General features: G+C 40.7%; 1 long non-coding RNA gene across 2 annotated transcripts in view, besides 2 other annotated features; it reads left to right on the forward strand.

Moving 5' to 3' along the window:
• LOC105374505 (uncharacterized) overlaps positions 1–24,598 on the forward strand; it is a 190,382-nt gene that overhangs the window by 78,938 nt on the left and 86,846 nt on the right. The window lies entirely within an intron of this gene.
• Positions 9,757–10,264: an enhancer, noted in NCBI's record as "OCT4-NANOG hESC enhancer chr4:16451182-16451689 (GRCh37/hg19 assembly coordinates)". NCBI's record gives its function as "activates a minimal SCP1, AML or CMV promoter by ChIP-STARR-seq in naive H9 embryonic stem cells {active_cell/tissue: H9 hESC(naive)}" and the evidence as "EXISTENCE:reporter gene assay evidence [ECO:0000049][PMID:30033119]".
• Positions 10,265–10,771: an enhancer, noted in NCBI's record as "OCT4-NANOG hESC enhancer chr4:16451690-16452196 (GRCh37/hg19 assembly coordinates)". NCBI's record gives its function as "activates a minimal SCP1, AML or CMV promoter by ChIP-STARR-seq in naive H9 embryonic stem cells {active_cell/tissue: H9 hESC(naive)}" and the evidence as "EXISTENCE:reporter gene assay evidence [ECO:0000049][PMID:30033119]".

Genomic DNA, 24,598 nt, shown 5'->3' on the forward strand with positions numbered 1-24,598 from the left:
TCCAAACACATTTCCATAAAAGTTGAGCATTTGTACTAAAATGGGATCTTGGCTTCATTTTCCCTGCAAATGGCCAGGGAGAAGGAAGCACTCTCTCATTGGGTGCAGAGAAGGAAAAATATGGCACCCTGCCTAGAATGGAGATTTTATGTTTTACAGAAATGACTTAGGGAGGACATCCTGCAAGAAGCTGTTGATCAGTGAAATGTGTATTTGCTCAAAACACACTTTCCCAGCTGAGCCCCACCCCTTCGTTCCAAGTCTTCCTGGCTGGGTCCTGCACATTTGGCTCCCCCATAACCTTGTTTAGGACTGTTTCTGTTGAGGATCACACTGTGCAGAGTTTCAAAGTCATTCTGCTAATGTGAGTGCTTCTCCTATTTTATGCATCAGAAGGCATTCAAAATCTGTCCACAGTTGAGAGCATCAGAAAAACAAAACAAAACAAAAAACAGGTGTTTATAAAAGCTAACTTACTATATGCCAGACCAATTCTAAGTGCTTTACAAATATTAACTCATTTAATACTCACAACAAACAGTTGTTGCACTTATTATTGCCCATTTAAAGAAGACTTAGGCATAAACATGTTAGTTTGCCCAAGGTCACAAAGCTCACGAGTGATGGAGCCCGTATTTCATTCCGAGCTGTCTCACAGCACAGCTCACACTTTAAAGCACAATACTGTAATAAAAATAATACCTGCTTCATGGGGTTGTTCTGAAGATCAAATGAGATTATCAATAAAGAAAAGCTGTAATTATCCAATGTGGGAGAAGCAGAAATATTTGGGCTGTGTTTCTGTTAGATGCTTCTGATAGAAAAATCACAATTGCCAGGATCCATCCTTCCTTCGTTCCTTCGTTCCTTCCTTCCTTCCTTCGTTCCTTCCTTCCTTCCTTCCTTCCTTCCTTCCCTTCCTTCCATTTCCATTTTCCATTGGCTGCCACAGGTGACTGGATACTTGATCTAACTGAGAAGAATTTTGAAATGTGGAAGGGAGGAAGGAAGGAACAAAGAAGGAAGGAAGTGAGGGAGGGAAGGAAATGGCTCTTTTCTTTCCTGTTTCACTTCCCATTCCCTCACTTCTGTGTCCTGAACTCACACTTCCAAATCACTTCCCGTCCATGAACCACTGTCACCATCTGCTTTCAGAAGGACCCAGCCTGAGATTCTCTCTCTCTTCCTCCTGCCCTTCCTTTCTTTCTTTTTTCCCTTAGCCTTTCCTTTTTTTTGAAGTGATATTAACTTTTTTCTTAGATTAGCGGATATTTTGATCTTATTTGAATCATCTGACTGGAAGACCTAGTTCAAATACAGCAGATTTGGGTAGGTAAAATGTCAGCACTTCTTACCACTCTATCCCAGTGTCCAACCCAGTTCTGGAACATGGCTAGTGTTCAGTAAATGTCTATCCAAAGATTTTGGAAAGTGTGGGTTAACCATTATTGCCCAATCTACCAAAAACACAAGTGTAAAATGTATTTTTACATTAGCAAAGTTGGAAAGTTATATTTTCTTTTTCCTTGTCTTTCCCAGAAAAATCATTAACTTAGGTCTGCTGTTTTCTGTATTTCACTTCACATGTGGAATTTCAATCGTTCAAGAAGACAGGAAGGGGTGGAGAAACACTAAATATATATGTACTTACACACACACATATATATATACACATGTATATGTGAGAGTGTGAAAGTAGATGGGTAATAGCACTGAAAAAAGGAAAAGGCTCAGGAAGGAAGGAAGGGTAGGAGGAAAAGAGAGAGAATCTTAACCTGGGTCCTTCTGAAAGGAGACTGTGACAATGGTTCATGGATGGGAAGTTTATTTGGAAGTGTGAGTTCAGGACACAGAAGTGAGGGAAGGGGAAGTGAAACAGGAAAGAAAATACACACACACACGCACACACATATGTATGTGTATATATGTATACATATATACATATGGGTGGGTCAGTCAGCTATTGCTGTGTAAAAAACCTTAAAAATATCAGTGGCATATAGCATACAAATTTATTTTTCATTTATGAGTCTTAAGTGATTGTCACACTAATGTGTATGTATATATATATATACACATATATGTGTGTATATATGTATACATACATATACTTATATACATACATATATGTACATATATACACACACACGTGTGTGTGTGTGTGTGTTTCTCCACCCTTTCCTGTCTCCTTGAACTATTGAGATGATAGGAAAAAGCTTTAGGCATGCCAAAATGGAGATATATTTGTGCCTTTCAAGTGACAGTTTTGAGGATCACTGGCCCACTGATGCTTCTATCTCTTTAAATTCTTGATTCAGACCAACTACCTAGAATGAACCTTTTCCAGGAGAGACTGTTACCCAGTGGACGAGGAGATGGTAAGGCATAAGTAGGTGCAGCTGGCATGGTCTGACAAGCGTGTACCGTAAAATGAAATCATCGCACCAGAAGATTCGAGGTGATAAAGTAAAATATGGAAATTTGAACAAAAAAGCAAAGCAACTCATTGGAGAATTAAAGGCAAGACTAAAAGTCTGGAATAAAGGGGTAATCGTGCTTCATTTTATGGCAGTGGTTTGTGGTTTTATTGATTGGTTGACTGATTTGTCATTTGTTGAATGCCTATGTGACAGATTCCCTAACAAGGGCATCTGTGTGTGTTATCTTGATGAACTGTAATTGAGAACTGTAGTCTTGATTCCTTAAGTGTATAGACTTGTCTTGTTTACTTTTAATTTTTTTCACCTCCAACATAACCAAGTAGTGATTATAAGGCATCCCTGTAAACCTTTTAAGCTGCTTTTCTATGTTTAAGGACATTCCTATCTTATGAGTTTGCTTCTTTCCAAGGTGAAAGCCAGAAACTCACCTTCCAACTTTCCTTGCTCTGGGTCAGACACAATGGTGTGAGATGTCCATGTGGAAACTAGTGTAATGGATATCCAGGTGCTAGGCAGTGACAGGCACGTGGTCCATTGCTGTGCAGAAGTAGCAGTGTTGGCAGAGGTTCTAGTGGTGCCCCCAGCATCAGAGGAACAATCCATGTTATCTCTGCCCAGAAGTGGCAGTGGTTGTGCCACTTCTGAAGCAGTCCTTTGTTGTAATTTGAAAGTTATTCCTGAATTTGTAGTCTTCAGTCTTACTTCAGTCTTTCCTTAAATTCCTAGAGCTTTTGTGATCAAACCAGTTGAAATAATCTCATAACTGATTCAATGTCATACTCACGTTTCAAATTTCAAAATGATAGCCTGAGAACTATTTGAAATATCTTCCTTCCACATCAAACACCTGAGAATGATAGAATTTTTTTAAAAAAATAATAAAATATTTATTTTAGAAACAATAAATAAATAAGAAAAAGTAGCTTTTAAAAATTAGAGAAAATGGGCTGGGCGCAGTGGCTCACACCTGTAATCTCAGCACTTTGGGAGGCTGGGGTGGGTGGATCACCTGAGGTCAGGAGTTCAAGACCAGCCTGGCCAACATGGCGAAACCCCGTCTCTACTAAAAATACAAAAATTAGCCAGTCATGGTGGCAAGTGCCTGTAATCCCAACTACTTGGGAGGCTGAGGCAGGAGAATCGCTTGAACCTAGGAGGCAGAGGTTGCAGTGAGCCAAGATTGAGCTATTGCTCTCCAGCCTGGGTGACAGAGTGAAACTCCGTCTCAAAAAAAGAGAGAGAGAGAAAACATTTCCTGGACCATAAGCTGCAAACAATTCCTAAAAGAAGGGAAGGCTGTGGGTCAGTCAGCTATTGCTGTGTAACAAACCTTAAAAATATCAGTGGCATATAGCATGCAAATTTATTTTTCATTCATGAGTCTTAAGTGATATGTGTCACACTAATGTTGAGTTTTATCAGTGAATTAATGGTCATCTCAGTAGTGACACCTGCTGGTCAGGAAGTAAACTCCATTAGTGGCTTTCCATTACACTCTGGATTAAGACCCAAATCTGTAACATTGTCTACAGGGCTCTGTGTGCACTCCCTCATCTCTCACTACTTCCGGCCTGGCTTATTCCATGGCAATTACGCTGCCTTCATTTAGCCCCTCAAATCAACTGGAATATTTCTAGACTTGAAAACTTTGCACAAGCTGTTCCTTCTATTCAGAGCACTAACATCACTCTACTTCTCCAATTTGCTTGGCAAATTCCTTTCTCTTCAGAAATCAGTTTAACCTCATCTTACCTATACCTTCCCTGTCTTTCCAAGCTAGAATAGTTTTCCTTATTATCTGCTCTTATGATGGCACCTGTTGCTTTCTGTTTGTGTCACTTAGTCACAATATAGTTTTCTATTATATGCCATACTTTGTTTAATGTCTGTTTCTCCAGTGTGGCTAGAAGATATTTGAGGGTTGGAATCATGATGTTTTTGTTCAGTGTTGTATTATGAATTATTGATCCAGTGTTGGGTTTTTGGTAGGTTTTCAAGAAATATGAATGAATGCCTGTTTAAATAAACTGATACGTCAGGGTATGCACAACTAAATTATGAATATATACCAGTGAATTTTGTGAATGTAACTTTTGTGGTTGACTGAGTAAAACATGCACCTCTGTGAAAGAAAGAACTGTAGGGAATTTGCTAGTGTTTGGTTTCACAAAAATACTGAAAGTTAGTTTGTCTATTATTCTAAGATTGGCTCTTAGGTAATCAACATGTGTCACATTAAGTTGAGCTTTACCAATGAACTAATGGTCACTCAGTAGTAACACCTGCTCTTCAGGAAGGACACTCTTCCTTCTCCCCATTAGCTATAATATTTTTATTGTCCTCCTCTTCACAGCTTCTATCAAAACTTGAAGTAGACAAGGACCTGATATGCAATGGACTGAATGTTTGTGTTACCCCAAAATTCATTCGTTAAAATCCTAACCTCTAAAGTGATGGTATTAGGAAGTGAAGACTTTGGGAGGAGAGTAGTTCCTGAAGGGAGAGCCCTCATAAATGGAATTAGTGCTCATAGAAAAGAGGCTCCTTCTACCATGTGAGGTTATAATGAGAAGACAGCTGGCTGTGAGGAAGAGAGCCCTCACCAGACACTGAATCTGCTGGAGCCTTGATCTTGGACTTCCCAGTCTCCAGAAGTATGAGAAATAAATTCCTGTTGTTTATAAGCCACCTAGTCTATAGTATTCTGTTACAGCAATCCTAATGGACCAAGATGTTTTTACAACTTGTACATATTGTTTTACAATCTTGTACATTGTACAACAATGTACAAGAAGTTTTTAGTTGCCTACCTAACCATCCTATGCTCTTTCTTGTTAATTAGAACCAATTTTGTTCAGACCTATCAACTTCAAGTCCAAGGATTTTATAAGAGATGAGTCCAGCCCTAGTCCTAGGTATGAGTCTTGATTAGTTTCAACCAACTATGATGATTATGAATAGATTTTCATTAAAGAAAATTGAGAACTCCAAAAAAGTAGAAAACATACTGATATTTCACTATGCAAATGCAACCACTTTCCATATTTTCTTGAAATTCCTTCCAGTCTTTTTTCTATGCACCAGTGAATTGTTTTAGCATATAGTATTCATAACCTCATATGCTATCATACCCTACCTATTTACATATAATACATTGTGCTCCTTTTTCTAAGTCTAATTCATTCTAATTTATTTTTATTGGCTGCATATTTCTTTAAGAAATTATTTCTCAACTAACATAAAGATGTTACTGTTTGTATTAGTTTCCTAGAGCTGTGGTAACCAATTACCACAAACTGAGTGGCTTAAAACAACAGAAATTTATTCTCTCACATTTCTGGAGGCTAAAAGTCCAAAGTCAAGATGCTAGCTGGCCATACTGTCTGTGAAGGCTCTAGGGGAGAAGCTTATCCAGGCCTCTCTCATGGCTTCTGGTGTTGCAGGCAGTCCCTTGCCATGTAGATGCGTTGCTTCAATCTGTGTCTCCATCCTCATATGGCCTATCCTTGTGTGACTCTGTATGTCTTCTCTTTTTCTTATAAGAACACTAGTCATATTGGATTAGGGTGGATCTTAACTTGAACACATCTGCAAAGACCCAATTTCCAAATAAGGTACTATTCAAAGGTGCTGGGAATTAGGACTTCAACATACCTTTTTGGAGGATATAATTCAATTCGTTATACCATTCGTCTGAAGTTGAAGAATTATTACAATTTTTTCTATTATATGTACCACAGCATTTAACATCTTCATTCAGTGTTTTCTACATCTAGAATTATTTACTTAGAATAGATTTCCCAGAGAGGAATTCCTGGGTAAAAGTATGAAAATGAGCATTTTAAAGTTCTTCTACAAATTGCTAGGCTCCTTTCCAAAATTACCAATTGCTAATTGCCATTAGCAATACACAAGGGTGTCTCTTTCACCTCATTCTTGTGAGTATTTGGATTTTTTAGTTTAAAAAATACACACACATAAAATGATCAGGAAAAAATAGTATCTCGTAATGTGCATTGAGATCAAACACTTTCCCATATTTGATTTGCTAATTGCATTTCCCTTTTTGGTGAATTTTCTGTTTCTTTCCTTTGTTGACTTACCTATAGGAGTCTTCATGCTTTTCTTTTCTTTTTTTTTGAAGCCTAGTTCATATAATGACCTACTTTTTTGATTGTCCCAGCCTAAAGAACTTGCCTTTTCTGCACTTTTTTTTATGTTTAATTTTTTTAAATTGTACTTTAAGTTCTAGGGTACGTGTGCACAATGTGCAGGTTTGCTACATATGTTTACATGTGCCATGTTGGTGTGCTGCACCCATTAACTCGTCATTTACATTAGGTGTATCTCCTAATGCTTTCCCTCCCACCTCCCCTCACCCCATGACAGGCCCCGGTGTGTGATATTCCCCTTTCTGTGTCCAAGTGTTCTCATTGTTCAATTCCCACCTATGAGTGAGAACATGCAGTGCTTGGTTTTTTGTTTTTGCGATAGTTTGCTGAAGATGATGGTTTCCAGCTTCCATGGATGAAGCTGGAAACCGTCTTCATGGTTTTCTTATCTGTTTTTCAAATGTGTTGCATTATTTTTCCTAGTCTGCTGGTTCTCATTTTTTTTTTGTTGTTTTCGTCCTGCAAAAATTCTAATTGGTATGTTCTTGCCTGCAAGAGTGATTTTGAAAATGTAAACAAGTATAGTGCAAACACAAATCCGTCAAAATGGGTGCTGTCTGTGCACTGTACTAGGATCTGTCTGCCCATCTTTCCTTTTATGAATTATTTTATTATTCTTAAAAACAGAAAGTCTTTCTCCCTTCAAAAAAGAGAATTAAATTGAATATTCTTTTAATTTTTGTTTATATACATTATATTTTTAATTAATCAGGATATCTTTTAGTATGTGGAATAAGGTAATTATTTAAATATATTGTGTTCCAAATTGTTAGCTGATTGATCCAACCTCATTTATTAAATAACTCGAGCTTTTCTGGGAATTGACTTGTGATGAATTCCTTATCATATATTAGAATATGATAGATAATAGGATCATTTTCTGGGCTGTTGTCCCTGGTGCTATTTTTGCACATATGTCACATTATTTAAATCTTTATAGCTTTATAAAATGCAGTGTACTTCCCCTTTAACATTTTCTTCAATATTCGGTTTCTTTTTATAGGTGAATCTTAGAATCATTTTGTCAAAGTCAGGTTGGGATTTTTGTTAAGATTGTAGCAAGCCACACATTAATTTAAGAAGAATTTATACTTTAGCAATATCCAGCCTCACCATATGGTATCTCTCTCTCCTTCTATGCAAGACTTCTTTTATATCTTTTCGTAAAGTCTTTCAGCTTTCTATGTAGGTCACGCAGTTTTCATTAGAATTGTCTCATGATATATTATCATTTTTGTTGTTGCTGGAAATAGGAATTTTTAAATTATTTTATACATTATTTTTGGTACTCTTTATTTGTTTATCTTGCATTCAAATTGCTAAGTTACATTAAATTTTGATACTTTATACCACATGCCTTTGGAGCTTTTAGACTGATAAGTACATGATCTATAAGGAATAATATTTTCTATTTAAAATATTTTTTGGTCAGAATTTCTCAAACAGTGTAAAATATGATGATAAAAAGAATTTGCTTTTTTGGCTCTTGATTTTGATATGAAGTGACTGCCAACTATCAGTGTGAAATACATTTTCTTTTTCTGGTAAGTAGCTCCTCTTATATTCCTACTTGAATTTTAAAAACAGACTGGTCATAAATTTTATAAAGTGCCTTTGCACCATTTTGATATAATTTTTGTTGGCTTTGACCTATTGCCGTGATATGTGATAATAATAGCTTTTTATTTGCAAACCATTATTAAAATCCTACATTATATCCTGTATGACCCTGGTCCTGGCAGACTTAAAAAATATATAGTTGAATTACACTTAATATTTCACTTTATTAATTATTAACAATGGGTTTTAAAATCATTAATTGCTAATAAAACAGCAACGATAATTTGTTTTTGTCACATAGACCTTACCTCATAAAAAGAAAAGAATTTTACAACCTAGAGACTTGGTCTAGTACCAGAACCTGGGGCTACTCCAAGATAAAGATATTGTTCATTTACTTATTCATCCATATGGGCATTGTTTGTCTTTCCACTGTAAATTCTCAAACATTTTCTGAGCAGCCCCTGTGCTGGGAAGAGGTAGAATTTCCAAGGTCAGTCCCTGCGGTCAAGAAGACTTAAGTTTATATCCTGACTCTTGTTATTTATTTACTGGCTATGTGAACTTGGGCAAGTTTTCTAACTCTGAAGTCTCAAATTTCCTCACTGGCAAAATAGGCATAGTATATAGCACCTGCTTGATAGTTTATATACAAATAGTGTCTATCAAGCTCTTAACGGCGTCTGCATGCCGATACTCAATCCATGTTATGATGTTATTACTACGTCCCGGGATATAAAGATGGATAGGTCTGTGCCCTGTGCTGGACAGCAGGGGTTATATAGTAACTGCATATCATCTGGTCCTTCTCAAGCGTCCACTAAAGGTTTGAGGGTTTTCCCGACTTGTATATTATTCAGGGTCCCTGGGATTCTAGCCCATTTCCCTTCATCGTTCTGAAATCCACACATACACTCCTCATCATCCAATCTTCATTTCTACCCCTATATAAGGGATAAGAACTGCTGGATAAGAACTAGAACAGTTCAACAATTACAGGAGAAACATAAGCCACATAACCAAGTCACCTGTGCCATAATAACTGATGAATTCTTGGTGGGGTAAGACGAGTTGAATATAGTAACGGCGGGTTTCTGTTAAAGCTAGCATCAGTCCATAACCTTGAGAACTCGGACTTCCAAGGGTGGCCTCTCTTTGCTTTGTCAGCATGAATCAGTAGCCTCAGCTGCAGAAAAGATTCAGAACATGCAGATGGCTTCACTACCCCAGTGCTGTCCTGATCTCTCCTGACACAAGCTAAGTGTCAGAGGTCTTGGCCTTGATTGCCTTTTAACAACTGGCCTCTGGATTGAACATGCTTCATCTGTATCATCAAGGTTGGCCGCCTGTTACTTTCCTGGTGATTGTGATGATTTATTTTATTTTGCAAAAATGATTTATTTTCTTGGTCTCCCCTCCTTTGAAGAAACTTAGCTAACTTGTCTTGTCTCTTTGCCCTCTGCCCCGGACTCTACAGTAAGTCTCATTTCAGAACACTGCCCCTCCTTCCCATGGGTAATGGGGTTTCTGCAAAGGAAGCCTCTTTGAACCTTTTGGGCTGCTGAATCGTGTCAGCCTGGAGACAAGAAGTTTGTTATGCTCATTGTGTCAGCTGCAGACATAATTCATGAAACCATCCCAGACACAGGATGTCACCAAGTGATGCTTCAATTTTACAGTCTCCCAGAGCTCCTGTTGGCAAACAGTGTTGGATGAAAGCTGGGAGGTTTTCAAAGGCCATGGGCCTTCTTTTCCTGCCCCTTGGTTCCCCTTTACTTTGCCTCCTCCATCTTTGCCTTTCTGTATGGGTCATGCTGTGTGCCCCTAAGATTTTTAAAGCCAATTAGCAGGTTAGAGACTGTCGAGGCATATTGACCTGTGAGATCACAGTATTTACTGTCACCGTAATTTCTCATAATATTGAAGCTTATACTGGCCCTCTCCATGGCTTTGTTCAAAGCCTGGTGGGGAGAAGGCTGTTTAGATACTGTAATCAGAATTCTTGAGCTGAACCGTTTTTTAATTACAGCTTTGATAGGGAGCTGTGCAGTTTGGGAAAGGAGTCCAGCTGGGAGTTAGCATCTCTTTGATCACAAGGCTGAACGATTCACTTTGATCACGGAGACAACAGTTCATAAAAGAGCCTGGTCTCTTTCTGAAATTTGCAGGTAAACAGAGGGATCACTTGAATGATCCCTCTGTGGAATGAGCAATTCAGATCCAAGACAATGGTCTTCTTTGAACTGGATTTAGAGGCCTATTGATTAGCATAGCAAAGGGGATTGATGGGTGAAAAAAGGTGGCTTTAGTCCCTAGACAGGTGCATCAAGAGGTCACTGGCTAGGTACTCTGTGGTTGGGCTCCCAGGTTTGGGATGAATCCCTCTTTCGGGACTGCATGTTGTTCAGGTAAATCTGTATACAAATAAACATTGCAGGTAACCTCAGAGGGAAAACCTTGATCTAAAGAAGGTGGTTCTAACAATAGGAAGCTAGCAGGCTTTGGAGTCAGGGAACCCCGAGATAAGATCCTTACCTCTCCATTTGTTTTTTTAATATGCAGGAAGAGGATCTAGATGCCTAAGCCCTTCTGTGCCTAAAGTCTTTTATCTGTACAAATTGGACATATTTAGGTTGGTGCAAAAGTCGTTGGGCTTCAAGGGTTATTTTAAAGGTTTAATGATGTGCATTTTGAGAAAGAAGGCCTGCTAGGTGCCAGACATGTTGGGAAAGAAAAAAATACCAAGGTGTCCTAAAACTACTGAAAAATTGTCCTGCCTAGGCTACTGAAAGGAAGCTATACTGGATTTTCCTGAGCAAATTGTTTTAAAGTGCTATTTGATTTATATTCTAATGGGATTTGTTTGAACATTTTGTATATAAGAAGTTCCATTTGGCTAAATTATAGTGCTTGAGTTTTGGGGGGTTATGGGGGTACTGCCACATGCCACATGGGGGAACCATATAACCACAGTTGCTGAGTTTTAGGAATATTAGTTGGGCAGGGATTATTTAGAATTTAGTTGTGAATGTGACGTGTGTGATTTGGTTGGTTCCTCTTGTATTACCCCATATCACTGATCACTTGCCATCTGGTTGGGACATACAGATAAATCACCAAGATCTGACAGTCACTGCAAAAAGACATTGGCCCTGAATAAATAAGCCAGTCGCTTTGAACAGAAAACAAAAGGCCCAGGGTTGTCGATGCCTAAGACTTGGCTCCTAGGAAGGAAACACACCATCTACAGAATGGCTCCATCAGACTTTCTTTCCCATTCCTCTCCTGTAGCTGCCTACAGCTCTGCTATTGGCTACTTGCATTTCTGTGTCATGGCCAGCACTCTTTTATGGGGAGCAAGTGGGGTTGGAGAAGGGAGGGAACGGTGGCTTTGTGTGGAGGGTCCACCTAAGAATTCCTGCTATGTCTTTTTTTTTTTTTTTTTTTTTTGAGACGGAGTCTCGCTCAGTTGCCCAGGCTGGAGTGCGGTGGTGTGTTCTTGGCTCACTGCAAGCTCCGCCTCCCAGATTCACGCCATTCTCCTGCCTCAGCCTCCCAAGTAGCTGGGACTACAGGCGCCCGCCACCACGCCCGGCTAATTTTTTTTGTATTTTTAGTAGAGACGGGGTTTCACCATGTTAGCCAGGATGGTCTCGATCTCCTGACCTCGTGATCCACCTGCCTCGGCCTCCCAAAGTGCTGGGATTACAGGCGTGAGCCACCGTGCCCGGCCAATTCCTGCTATGTCTTAATCAAGGGATGCCGGGAAAGTGAGGTATGGGACCTCCTAGTCATTAAAAAGACCAGGTCGGCAACACTACTTCATGCCATTTTAATGAGCCATTGTTGAACACCTACTGTGTTGTTTTGCTTTGGCTTCCATGACAAAGTGCCTTAAACAGGCTTAAACAACAGGGTGGCTTAAACAACAGAAATGTATTTGCTCACAGTTCTGGAGGCTAGAAATTCAAAATTTTAGGTGTCAACAGGCTTGGTTTCTTCTTCTTCTTTTTTTTTTTTTTTTGAGATGGAGTCTCACTCTGTCACCCAGGCTGAGTGCAGTGGCACGATCTCAGCCCACTGAAACCTCCATCTCCTGGGTTCAAGCGATTCTCCTACCTCAACCTCCCAACTACATGGGATTACAGGTGTGTGCCACTACACCTGGCTAATTTTTCCAGTTTTAATAGGGTTTCGCCACGTTGGCCAGGCTGGTCTCAAATTCCTGACCTCAAGTGATCCTCCCACCTCTGACTCTCAAAGTGCTGGGGTTACAGGTGTGAGCCACTGTTTTCTTCTAAGGCCTTTCTCCTTGATTTGATGATGGCCCCTTTCCTGCTGTGTCTTCATCTGGTTCTTCCTTTGTGTGTCCACAGGTCTGTGTACAAATTTCGCTTCTTATAAGGACACCAGTGATACTGAATTTGGGTCCATCCTAATGACCTCATTGTACTGTAATTATCTTTTTGAAGATTCTGTCTCCAAATACAGACACATTCTGAGGCACCAGAGGTTACGACTTCCAACATACGAACTTTGGATGAAAACGATTCAGCCCGAAGCACCTGGTCTCCATCCCCATCCCTAGGAATCCTTTTCTCTGTTTCCTAGTAACTCTGTGCCTCAGTGTCTTCATCTGTGAAATGGCATCGATAGAAATATTTTAAGGAATACATGAGTTGAGCTCACGAAGCAGTACCTGACACAGAGTAAACGTTCAGTAGGTATTAGCTATTATGGTGGCAATCATTTCAACTTTCTGACAAGTGCCCTTGAAATTTCCTTTTCGTCTCCCTACACCAGGATTGTTTTCTTTTTTCTGTCTTTTTCTTTTGAGACAGAGTCTTACTCTGTTACTCAGGCTGGAGTGCAGTACCACCTTTGCCTCCCAGGTTCAAGCGATTCTCCCGCCTCAGCCTCCCGAGTAGCTGGGATTACAGGCACCCGCCCCCATGCCCAGCTAATTTTTGTAGTTTTAGTAGAGACAGGGTTTTGCCATGTTGGCCAGGCTGGTCTCGAACTCCTGACCTCAGGTGATCTAGCTGACTTGGCCTCCCAAAGTGCTGGAATTACAGTTGTGAGCCTCTGTGCCCGGTCCCTACACCAGGATTGTTAAAGTGTGATCAGGTGACCACCAGCATGAAAATTCTCAATGGTGGGATGAATCTGAGATGGCCTCAGGTCTAAGAAGCCCAGCCCTGGGGTGGGTGCGGCAGTTTCTTAAGACAACAACCTCCTGAGAACAGGGACTATGTCTGAGACATCCGTGAATCCTGGACCTCTCCCACTTGGGGCTTGGAGCCCGTGTTCATCCAGTGCTTACTGCACCAGCTGACAGCTGGACGTTTTAGATGGGAGAGGAGGGAGACATCATCCAGGGTACGGTATGATGAAACAAAATACAAGGTACAAATGACGTTTTGGACATTTCCTAAATGAAGAAGCTGAGGAGGAGAGTGCTGTCAGCTTGACCAATTTATAGTTTTGAATTTGTGCCCAGAAGCTGTTTTCAGAGAGGATATTTTTAGAAATATGAAAATAAATACAATTAAATTAGAGAGATATGTCAAGTATTTTTTTTCTTGTTTTAAGACTGTCCTCTGACCATTACAGCTTAGGTAGTGACAACTCTTTGAATAACAGTGCCGTATTTTCTAATTAAACAATCAAGGCTCTCCAGTCATTACATTAACGAAGATAAGGGTCAAAAGGCTAGAACCTAGCAGGAAAGGAATTTTAAATGGACAGAAATGGCAATAAAAATGGAAAAATTTTTTCTGACTTTTTTCTGTATTTTATTAACACTTTGTGGCCTGAATATATTTAAATAGCTCCTTGCCACTTAATGTAAAAGTCAGCCTTTGGAGATGAGAATACACACACACACACACACACACACACACACACACACACACACACACACTTTAGAATCAGGCAGACCTAGGGTTGCACCCTGGCTTACTAGCTGTATGGCCTCAAGAAGGTTCCTTAACCTCTCAGAATCTCAGTTTGCTCTACTGCAGAATGGGGAGATTTAATACCAACACCATAGTTTGGCTGTGGGAATTAAATTAAATAATACATATAAAATGAATATGCATTTGACCCATCATAGTCAAGAGGTAGGGAATGTTGCTTAAATTATTTTTTTTCCTGTGTCCATGTGTTCTCATTGTTCAGTTCCCACCTATGAGTGAGAACATGCAGTGTTTGGTTTTTTGTCCTTGTGATAGTTTGCTGAGAATGATGGTTTCCAGCTTCATCCATGTCCGTACAAAGGACGTGAACTCATCATTTTTTATGGCTGCATAGTATTCCATGGTGTATATGTGCCACATTTTCTTAATCCAGTCTATCATTGTTGGACATGGGTGCAGCACACCAACGTGGCACATGTATACTTATGTAACAAACCTGCACGTTGTGCACATGTACCCTAAAACTTAAAGTATAATAATAATTTTAAAAAATTATTTTTTTCTCAACCAAATCAAATGTGGCTCAACTGGCAGATACTAGAGTTGGCTAAAAAAAACAAAAAAAAATTCTAACTTCTTAGTGACTCCTTCTTAGGGTTGTTACAAGAGTTGGAAGATATTTATAAGGGGTTTCCAAGGCTGAGGACACCATTCTGAGGTTTTGCCTTGCCTAGGACCACATGGTGCAGAGACCTGCTGGTAGCATCTGCTTCCCTCTTTTGGGTACACTTAGCCACACTGCTATTTGCCTCAGCTCCCAAAGATCTGGAAATAACAGCAAAATCTCAGGCAACTATGCAGGTCAGGTCAATCTGAGATTTAGATACTATTAATGACAACATCTGGAATTTGCAGGCATACTTTATAGATATTGCACGTTCAGTTTGTCTCAAACTACAATAACATGAATATCATAATAAAGTAAGTCATACAAATGTTTTATTTCCCAGTGCATATAAAAGTCATGTTTCCACTATACTGTAGTCTACTGAGTGTGAGACAGCAGTATGTTAACAGAAACAATGTACATACCTTAATTTTAAAATACTTAATAGCTAAAAAAAAATGCTGTCTTCTTCAGTGAGTCATAATCTTTTTGCTGATAGAGGATCTTGCCTCAGTGTTGGTGACTGCTGACTGATCTTAGTGGTGATTGTTAAAGGCTGGGGTAGCTGTGACAATTTCTTAAGACAACAATGATGTTTGCCACATCGATTGACTCTTCCTTTCACAAAAGATTTCTATGTAGCATATGAGACTGTTTGATAGCATTTTACCCACAATATAACTTCTTTCACAATTGGAGACAATCCTTTCAAATCTTGCTGCTGCTTTCTCAAGTAAGTTCATCTCATATTGTAAATCATTTGTTGTCATTTTAACAATGTTCACAGCGCCTTCACCAGTAGTACATTCCATTGTAGGGAACCACTGTCTTTGCTCATCCATAAGAAGCAACTCCTCATCTGTGAAAGTTTTATCACAAGATCACAGAAATTCAGCACACCTTCAGGCTCCGCTTCTCATTCTAGTTCTCGTGCTATTTTCACCACATCTGTAGTGATTTCCTCCAAGAAGTCTTGAACTCCTCAAAGTCATCCATGAGGATTGGAATAAACTTCTTCCAAATTCCTGTTAATGTTGTTATTTTGACTCTTCCCATGAATCAAAAATGTTCTTAATGATGTTTAAAATGATGAATCCTTTCCAGAAGGTTTTCAATTGACCTTGCCAAGATCCAGCAAAGGGATCACAATCTATGGCAGCTACAGCCTTACCAAAAGTATTTCCTAAGTAATAAGACTTGAAAGTTAAGATTACTCATTGATCCATGAGCTGCAGAATGGATGCTGTGTTAGCAGGCATGAAAACAACATTAATTTCCTTGTACATCTCCATCAGGGCTCTTGGGTAATGAGGCACATTGTCAATGAGTAGTAATATTTTGAAAGGAACCTATTTTTCTGAGCAGTAGGTCTCAGTAGTGGGCTTAAAATATTCAATTAACCATGATGTAAATGGATGTGCTGTCATCCAGGGTTTGTTGTTCCATTTCTGGAGCATAGGCAGAGTAGATTTAGCATCATTCTTAAGGTTGCTAGGATTTTCAGAATGGTAAATGAGCATTGGCTTCAACTTAAAGTCACCAGCTGTATCAGCCCCTAACAAGAGCGTCAACCTGTCCTTTGAAACTTTGAAGCCAGACATTGACTTCTTTCTTACTGTGAAAGACCTATATGGCATCTTCTTCCAATAGAAGGCTGTTTCACCTAGATTGAAAATATGTTGCTTAGTGTAGCTGACTTTATCAATGATCTTAGCTAGGATAACTTGCTACAACCTCTCCATCAGCACTTGCTGCTTCACCTTGCACTTTTATGTTATGAAGACGGCTTATTTTCTTAAACCTCATGATCCTCCTTCTGCAGGCTTCCAACTTTTCTTCAGCTTCCTCACTTCTCTCAGTCTTCATGGAATTGAAGAGAATTAGGGGTTCTGGATTACACTTTAACTTCAGGAAATGTTGTAGCTGGTTTGATCTTCTATCCAGACCCTTAATACTTTTTCCATATCAATATTAAGACTCTTTTGCTTTATTAGTCATGGGTTCACTGGAGTAACACTTTTAATTTCCTTCAAGAACTTTTGCTTTGCATTCACAACTTGGCTAATGGTTTGGCACAGGAGGTCTCGCTTTTGGTCTTTCTTAGCTTTTGACATGCCTTCCTCACTGAGCTAAATCATTTCCAGGTTTTGCTTTAAAGGGAGACATGTACGATTCTTCCTTTTACTTGAACACTTAAGAACCACTGAGATATTATTAATTGGCCTAACATCAATATTGTTGTGTATTAGAGAATAGGGAGGCCCCAGGAGAAGGAGAGAGACAAGGGAATGGCCAGTCCATGGATTAGTCAAAAAACACAAAATATTTATCAATTAAATTTGCTGTCTTATATGAGCACAGTTTCTGGTGACCTCAAACAATTACAATAGTAATATTAAAGGTCACTGATTACAGATCACCATACCAGAGATAATAATGAAGTTTGAAATATTGTGAAAATTAGCAAAATGTGATATAGAGACACTAACTGAGCACATGCTGTTGGAAAAATGATGTCAACAGATTTGTTCAATGCAGGGTTGTCCCAAACCTTCAATTAGTAAAAAAAAATACACTAAAGCTGCAAAGCACAATAAAGGTATGCCTGTATTAAACATACTTCAGTACAAAAGAGTGATGGTGTGTTTGTGTGTGTGTAGTTCAGCTATCATCCACATGCTACACACATTCTAATGAGGAGAGCACAATTCCAATGTGCTTCATTAACACCAAACAGGAAGCCCACATTCTGAAGGACACAGGACAAAGGTGAAGCAGACATTCATATTTGCTATCCATATTGGATCAATAACTCAGGCTTTCTTGAATAACCTAGTGAATGTCTGAAATAGTTTTTCAGTGATGAAATTGGCCTGTTAACTAGGATGATGCCAATTAGAAATGGACCCTCTGTGGATAGTGACATTAAAGGTATATGGCTGACTAGAATATTTTGGAGTCACTTTCCACAATGGCATGATTCCTGCAAGGCCTCAGGCCTGTGCTCCCAGCCATGATGCCCTAGGCTAGCATTTGCTTACTCTCTGACCTTGTTTGTGTCACCTTCTTTGCACCTCTCTTCCCTCCCTCCGTCCCTCCCTCCCTCCCTCCTTCCTTCCTCTCTCCCTCCCTCCCCTCCCCTTCTCTCCCTTCCCCTCTCCTCTCCTTCCCTCCCCTCCCCCTTCTTCCCTTCTTTGTCTTGCTCTGTCATCCAGGCTGGAGAGCAGTGGCACCATCTTTGCTCACTGCAGCCTCCACCTCCCAGGTTCAAGTGATTCTCCTGCTTAGCCTCCTGAGTATCTGGGACTACAGGTGTGTGCCACCACACCTGCCTAACTTTTTTTTTTTTTTAATGGAGATGGGGTTTCACCATGTCAGCCAAGCTGGTCTCAAACTCCTGACCTCATGTGATCCCCCAACCTTGGCTTCCCAAAGTGTCGGGATTATAGGTATGAGCCACTGCACCCAGCAAACACCTCTTTTTCTTAAGAGCTAGCTCAGATCTTCCTCAGGGAACAATCATGCTTCTGACTATTTCATTGTTCTGCCTTTGCATGCACAGCTCATGGGTATGGAATGTGTTAGACATGAGCATGTCAAGCATACAACTATTATTCTTGAAACGGGAGAGTTCCCTGAACCGCTCTCAGGACTTGTGACAGGAGTGTGGCTCATTTACTCAGCCACTGTGCACTCAAATCCCTTACGGGAAGGGGAGCATGCAGACAGGCAGGTGCAGGAGCCAAGGCAAGTGCTTTTGGGCTCTGGCCCCATGGTAGCATCTAGGAGTGTGTTACAATTAATGCCCTTTTAGCAGTTGCCATCTGTGGAGGGCTGAATGTTAAACCAGCTCAGTGGAAGGTCAGGGTGACAGCTTTTTACACTCTGCCCTCTTGGTACCTGGGTCCTTGTCCAGCATCCAGGAAGAACCAGGTCACATGGACTTGAAGGATGGTGAATTTGGGGATTTTATTGAGTGATGAAGGTGACTCTCAGTGGGATGGGGAGCTGGAGAGGAGATGGAGTGGGAAGATGATCTTCCCCTGGAGTTCAGCCATCCTGCAGCTGATCTCTCCAATTGCCCCCAACTAAACTCCTCTCCATGTTCAGATTCTTCTGTTCTCTCCTTCTTTGCCATGTTGCTCTGCCATTCTGCCACTCTGCTGCTCTTCTGCTCTTCTGTTCCTCTGCTCATCTATTCTTGAGCCTGGGATTTATATGGGTACAGGATAGTGGGGTGTGGCAGCCCAAAAGGAAACACTTGGGCACAAAAACAGGAAGGCCTGTTCCATTTAGGGCTTCAGGTCTCTAGGCTTGAGGGTGGTGCCTTTGCCAGGGAACCACCCTCTTCTATCCAGTGTTTCCCTGCCTCCTGTCCCTATCACTCTCACCTCCTTTGCCTCCTGTTGCTGGACTAACAGGTGGAGCGACTACTGGGTCTCTCTGTGTTCTTTCTCCATGGGTCTCCTTAGCTGCTGAGTAGTGTGGAGAGTTTGCTGTTCATCCCAACCGTAAGTTATGGCAGGACTGCCTCCTGTTGGCCCAGGCCATGGGGTATGGGCTCTGGTTCAACCTTTGATGTGCCCCTGTACTCTGTGAGTTCAGGGCTCATTTTTGACTCAGAATCTAGCTGGTCCATAACACTCCCTTCTTCCTCAGGATGAGATCTTTTTTCTTTGCTCATCCTACTCATTCTCTCACCTCCTCACACAGTCTGTAGGCAGGGGTTAGGAAGGATTTTTCATATGAGTTGAGTTCCTGGAAAAATACCCTTGGAGGCTCTACTTGTTTCTATTCTCTTTCTATTATCATCTATCCGTCTACCATCCACCTGTCCATAGTCATGGCAAACATTTACTGGACATCAATTGGATACCCCGTTTTTGCTAGTGAAAGGGAAGAATAATACTTTTTAAATTCAGCACTCATAGTTTCTCAGATTGAATGGACCCCTGCAACAAAAGACAGATGAACAAGAGAAAAACAGGCACAAATTAACATGGATATTTCATGTGTACATGAGAGACACCCAGGGAATGAGTAATTCTCCAAGAGGTAGCTTTGAATTCCAAGTCGTATAGCATCTTCAATTAAAAGAACAGTACATTTTTAGAGAAATGAGAAGACAAAGGAAAGGACTGTGAGTCTCTCAGGGCAGCAACTTGTAGGAAGGCAAATACATAGCAGAGAAAGGTGAGTTAGTAGAGCTTGTTCATATAGATTTCTTTGGTGCCATCTCCAGATGACAGGGTCTAAATTTATCTTCAGTGGCACTCTCTGATAGAAGGAGGGAAAGATACCTTTTGACTTTGTAAATCTGGGTCCTGCTTTTAGGTAAATAGAGGGAAGGTGGAGAGCTTTCCTGCATTTGCTTCTTCTTAATTGCCTTTACCTAAACAATGCTTCATCTTTGGGGATGGCATATTCTGATCCCCCATACTAGTAAGACAGGATTCCTGCCCTTGACGAGCACTTTTAGTGGCTTGGGTTGGAGGGAGATATCTGTGGCTGAATAAATAGTTAAAATATTTTGTTTAAGAAATAAAAACAATTAAAACACAAAAGTTTAAAATATTCATACACATGTATAAATGTGGTAAGTGTAATTGGTGGAAGAGATATGCACAAGATATTATGGGCTCTCAGAGGAGAGTCCCTAACCTACCTGTAAGTGACCTGACCTTACTGTCTTGGGTACTGCATTAAAATTCCTGGACCCCAATGTAGTCAGAATCCTGCCTGAACTTGCTATTCCTTTTGGGCACCCTTCTGAGGAGACTCACCCCCTACCCCAGCCTGCCTGTGGAGCTCAGGGACAGCTGGGGTCAGCAGTGGGGCTTCTGGAGGCAGATGGTCTGACTTTGAAACCCAACTCCACTAGCTCCCTAGCTGTAGCACATCCAAAAACCATGTAACCTACTTTATTCCTTTTTCAGTTCTTTATCTGTGGAAGGGTGGTAATAATGGCCCCTATCTTACAGACATTGCCTTTAAGGCACCTTTCACTGGGTTTATCACCTTAGAAACTTTTTATCACATTTAGTTTTTGTTGATTATTTGTATCACATCAATGCATCACCTCCTAGCCCAGCCTCCCAACCCCTCAGGCCATATTCCAGTTCCTGGGATTCCATCGAATTCTAGACCTCTTGCCCACACACTTACTTCATGTCCCAGTCACTAAATTTCTCTGTTGGCAGATCAGAAAGGGGAGGATTTTTTACCCATTTGAAACTACTTTACTAAAAAAAAGTAAGTTTATTCCCAAAGTGCTCAATTAATAGAGTTAAAATAGATTTTAATTTATAAATATTTAACTCACAAGCAATTCTTTGTCCCATTCATTCTTTGAACAAATTTTTTTTAATGAACACTTACTATGTAGTAGGTTCTGGGAAGATAGTGGTGACTCAGATACATGGTTCCAGACCTCAAAAAGCTGAGGATATTGCAGGGTATGCAGGTAAGTAAACCAACAGCACCGCTTACCAACAGCACCACTTAATTTCTTATGTGCCCCAAAGGGAAGTGGAAGGCATATGGGAATATGAGGAGGGGCTCCGGAGTCAAATAGGGGCACCTATAAATTGTACCACTAAAAAGCTCCTTCATAGTTATTTACTCAAATAGGATTGAGTCCTCCAGAGGTTCTGTAAACTTAAGTTAGGTTTAAATGTTCTGTTTCATTAACTTCAGGACAAGGTGTAGTTCTAGGTGATGTACACTGTAGGTGTTAAACAATTCATTGTTCTCAAAATGTGGCCACGTAAGTTTCATCCTATGGATAAGTATAACACAGTATTATTTTTAACCCTAAAGTTGAAATTAGCAGGAAAGAGTTTGAAATGGGACTGCCTAAAAATAATAAAAAAACCATTATTAAGACATCCTGACAACTGCAATTAAGGGTTCAAGGAAGAGTCTCCTTTCTATTGCCCTGGTTTGGAGAATCTGCAGAAGCCGCTAAAGCTTCAGAGAGGGGATGACTCAGAGGGACAAGTGCCCACAGGCATATGCCTGCTGCATTGGAACAGAAGGAGGAAATCCAAGTGTTCTAGCTGTGGTAATGGTTTTCCTGGATTTGAAAGCAGATATCAAGATATCTCAGGAGAGTGAGTGTGTTTTCTTTGAAGATAGATTAATCAATGTATCTAGTCCCTTGATTTCTTGAGGAAGGCTGTTTATGCTCCAAAGCCCCTTTCTCTGTGTTGGTGACTCAAATCTATGAGAGATTTACACTGATTTTTCTCCATGTACAAAAGAGTTCGATTTCCTCGAGTGCCTATGGGATCTTCCATGTTTCAATTTGGAAAGTGCAATGAGCAGAGCTTCAGAAGAGAGTGTTTGCTTTCTGTGAAGCTCTCTCTCATTCACTTGGCTTAGACACTGCAGGGAGGGCTCCATGATCACAGACAAATCTTATGTGGCTGGAAATGCCAGTCTTTCTAATTAATGAGTATCACCAATTTCACCCCCTAGTTGGAGTGGGTCTGCAAATGACAGACACTGGACTGGTGGGAAGCATATGAACTGCAGAGACCTGTGCACAGTGCTGCCCCTGCCTCCAGCCATCTGTGTGGTTCTTGTCAAGTTCCTTAACCTCTCTGACTTTCTGTTTCTTTATCTGTGAAATACAGATCATGTTCGCTTTCTATGGTTTATAGTAGGAATGAAATGTTAAGAAATGGAAGGCAGGCCGGGTGCAGTGGCTCACGCCTATTATCCCAGCACTTTGGGAGGTCGAGGCAGGCAGATTACCTGAGGTCAGGAGATCGAGACCAGCCTGACCAACATGGAGAAACCCCGTCTTTACTAAAAATAAAAAATTAGCCGGGCGTGGTGGTAGGCACCTGTAATCCCAGCTACTTGGGAGGCTAAGGCAGGAGAATCTCTTGGACCCGGGAGGCGGAGGTTGTGGTGAGCCAAGATCGCACCATTACACTCCAGCCTGGGCAACAAGAGCAAAACTCTGTCTAAAAAAAAAAAAAAAAAAGAAAAAAAAAGGAAAAGAAATGGAAGGCAAATGGTACATGTCAAGTACTGGAAAACTGCTAATTTCTTTCCCTCCCTCCCTTCCCCACTGAAAGTATCAATGAAAGCAGACAAGAGCTATATTTGCATGTGTATAATCAAGTTCACTAAATTGGAGAAAAATATATAGACTGAAATTAGTGAAATGGTTGAGATAGTTTTGTGAATTAACATGATACCAATATAGAAACTGGGCAGAATTTTCCACTTTCCAGACACTAGTTAGCCTACTTGGCGAACATAAATCTTAAATGAAGGATTAGGTCAATAAACCCTTCAGCAGACAGACAATGCTATTGCTCTCAGCCCTGCCTCTCACCCTACAGACTGGAGAACAATACCTTATCTTTGTCAGATCCCTACAAATTTCCACACATTATTTCATGCAGCCAGCAAAAAGGGTTTCTGAATTAGATCGGGGAGGAATTATTGTCTCCATTTTGCAGATGATGAAACCGAGACACAGACATTTGGGTACAAGAAGAGAGGCAGCAGAAAGTAGAATTCAGGTCTCAGTTTGCTGGCTTCTTGACTCTGCTGTTATCAGGCACTTTTGCTTGACTATATAATGTCCACACTCTCTGCTTTGTCCCTCTCGACATTCTACAAATTTTGTTCACTCACTCATCTTCCTATACTTATCCATGAGTCTGACAAGGTGGGTCCCACTCCCCCACATGTAAAGCCAGTTTTGGGAAACATTGAAGGAAAGGGGATGCTAAGTAAATCTGTCTAAGTAGTGGCTCTTGGAGGCATTCAGGTGTAGTGCTTCAGGCTTCCTGTGGCTGTGTCAGCAGTGGCCCTGACCAAGAACCTAGGGGGGCACATAGAAGACTTGTGTCTTGGTCTAGGGCAAGGGTTCTTAAATTTGAATGGGCATCAGAATCACCTGGAGGGTTTACTAAAACATGGATTTCTGGGCCCCACACCCAGAATTCCTGATTTCATAGGCCTGGTGCGGGCCTGAGAATTTGCATTTCTAACAAGTTTCTAGGTGATGCTGATGCTGGTGGTCTAGAAAACACACATTGAGAACCGTTGGTCCTAAGGAGGAGTGGGTCTTAACTTTGAGGATTAACTGAGGAGTTTTAAAAATTCCAAAGCATAGCCGAGTGTGGTGTGCACCTCTGTAGTCCCAGCTACTCAGGAGGCTGAGGCAGGAGGATTGCTTGATTGAGCCCAGGAGGTTGAGGCTGCAGTAAGCCATGCCAGTGTCACTGAACTCCAGCCTGGATGACAGAGTAAGACTCTGTTCCCCCGCTCAAAAAGCAAAAAAAATTCCAAAGCCAAGGCTGCACTCCAGATCAATTTCATCTGAATCTCAGAAGGGGACCCAGGCCTAGTAGTTTCTAAAGCTTCCTAGGTGATCATGGTGTATACAGAAATAACTCTAGGGAGTTTAGAAGGCCTGAGTTTAAGGCCCGCCTGTGACTGAGGGGTGGTGGTTGGTGCAGTAGATCAGTGATTCTGAAATATGTAAGGGGAAATGCTGTCACATTGTACAACTCTTTGTGAGCAGATATCAAACTTGCACTCAGTATAGTCCTACTATTTTATCCATTGTGAAATTTCAAAAACTCAATAAGCATGTGGGATATTTACATTTGTTCCAAGAAAGCATGAACGGTGGCATGCAGGAAAGAGTGTACATAGCAGGCTTGATGTGGCTGGTTCGATGGGCTTGCTTTGCAGTAGACCATTGGCTGGCCTCTGGGAACCTGGCTTTGGAGTATTCCCTATGTTATTAACTGATAAGACTGTTTTGTGTGCCTAGGGCACTGTACCAGCTTGCTAGACTTTGTATTCTGC

Source organism: Homo sapiens, chromosome 4 (assembly GCF_000001405.40).
Source record: "Homo sapiens chromosome 4, GRCh38.p14 Primary Assembly".
Taxonomy (NCBI): Eukaryota; Metazoa; Chordata; class Mammalia; order Primates; family Hominidae; genus Homo; species Homo sapiens.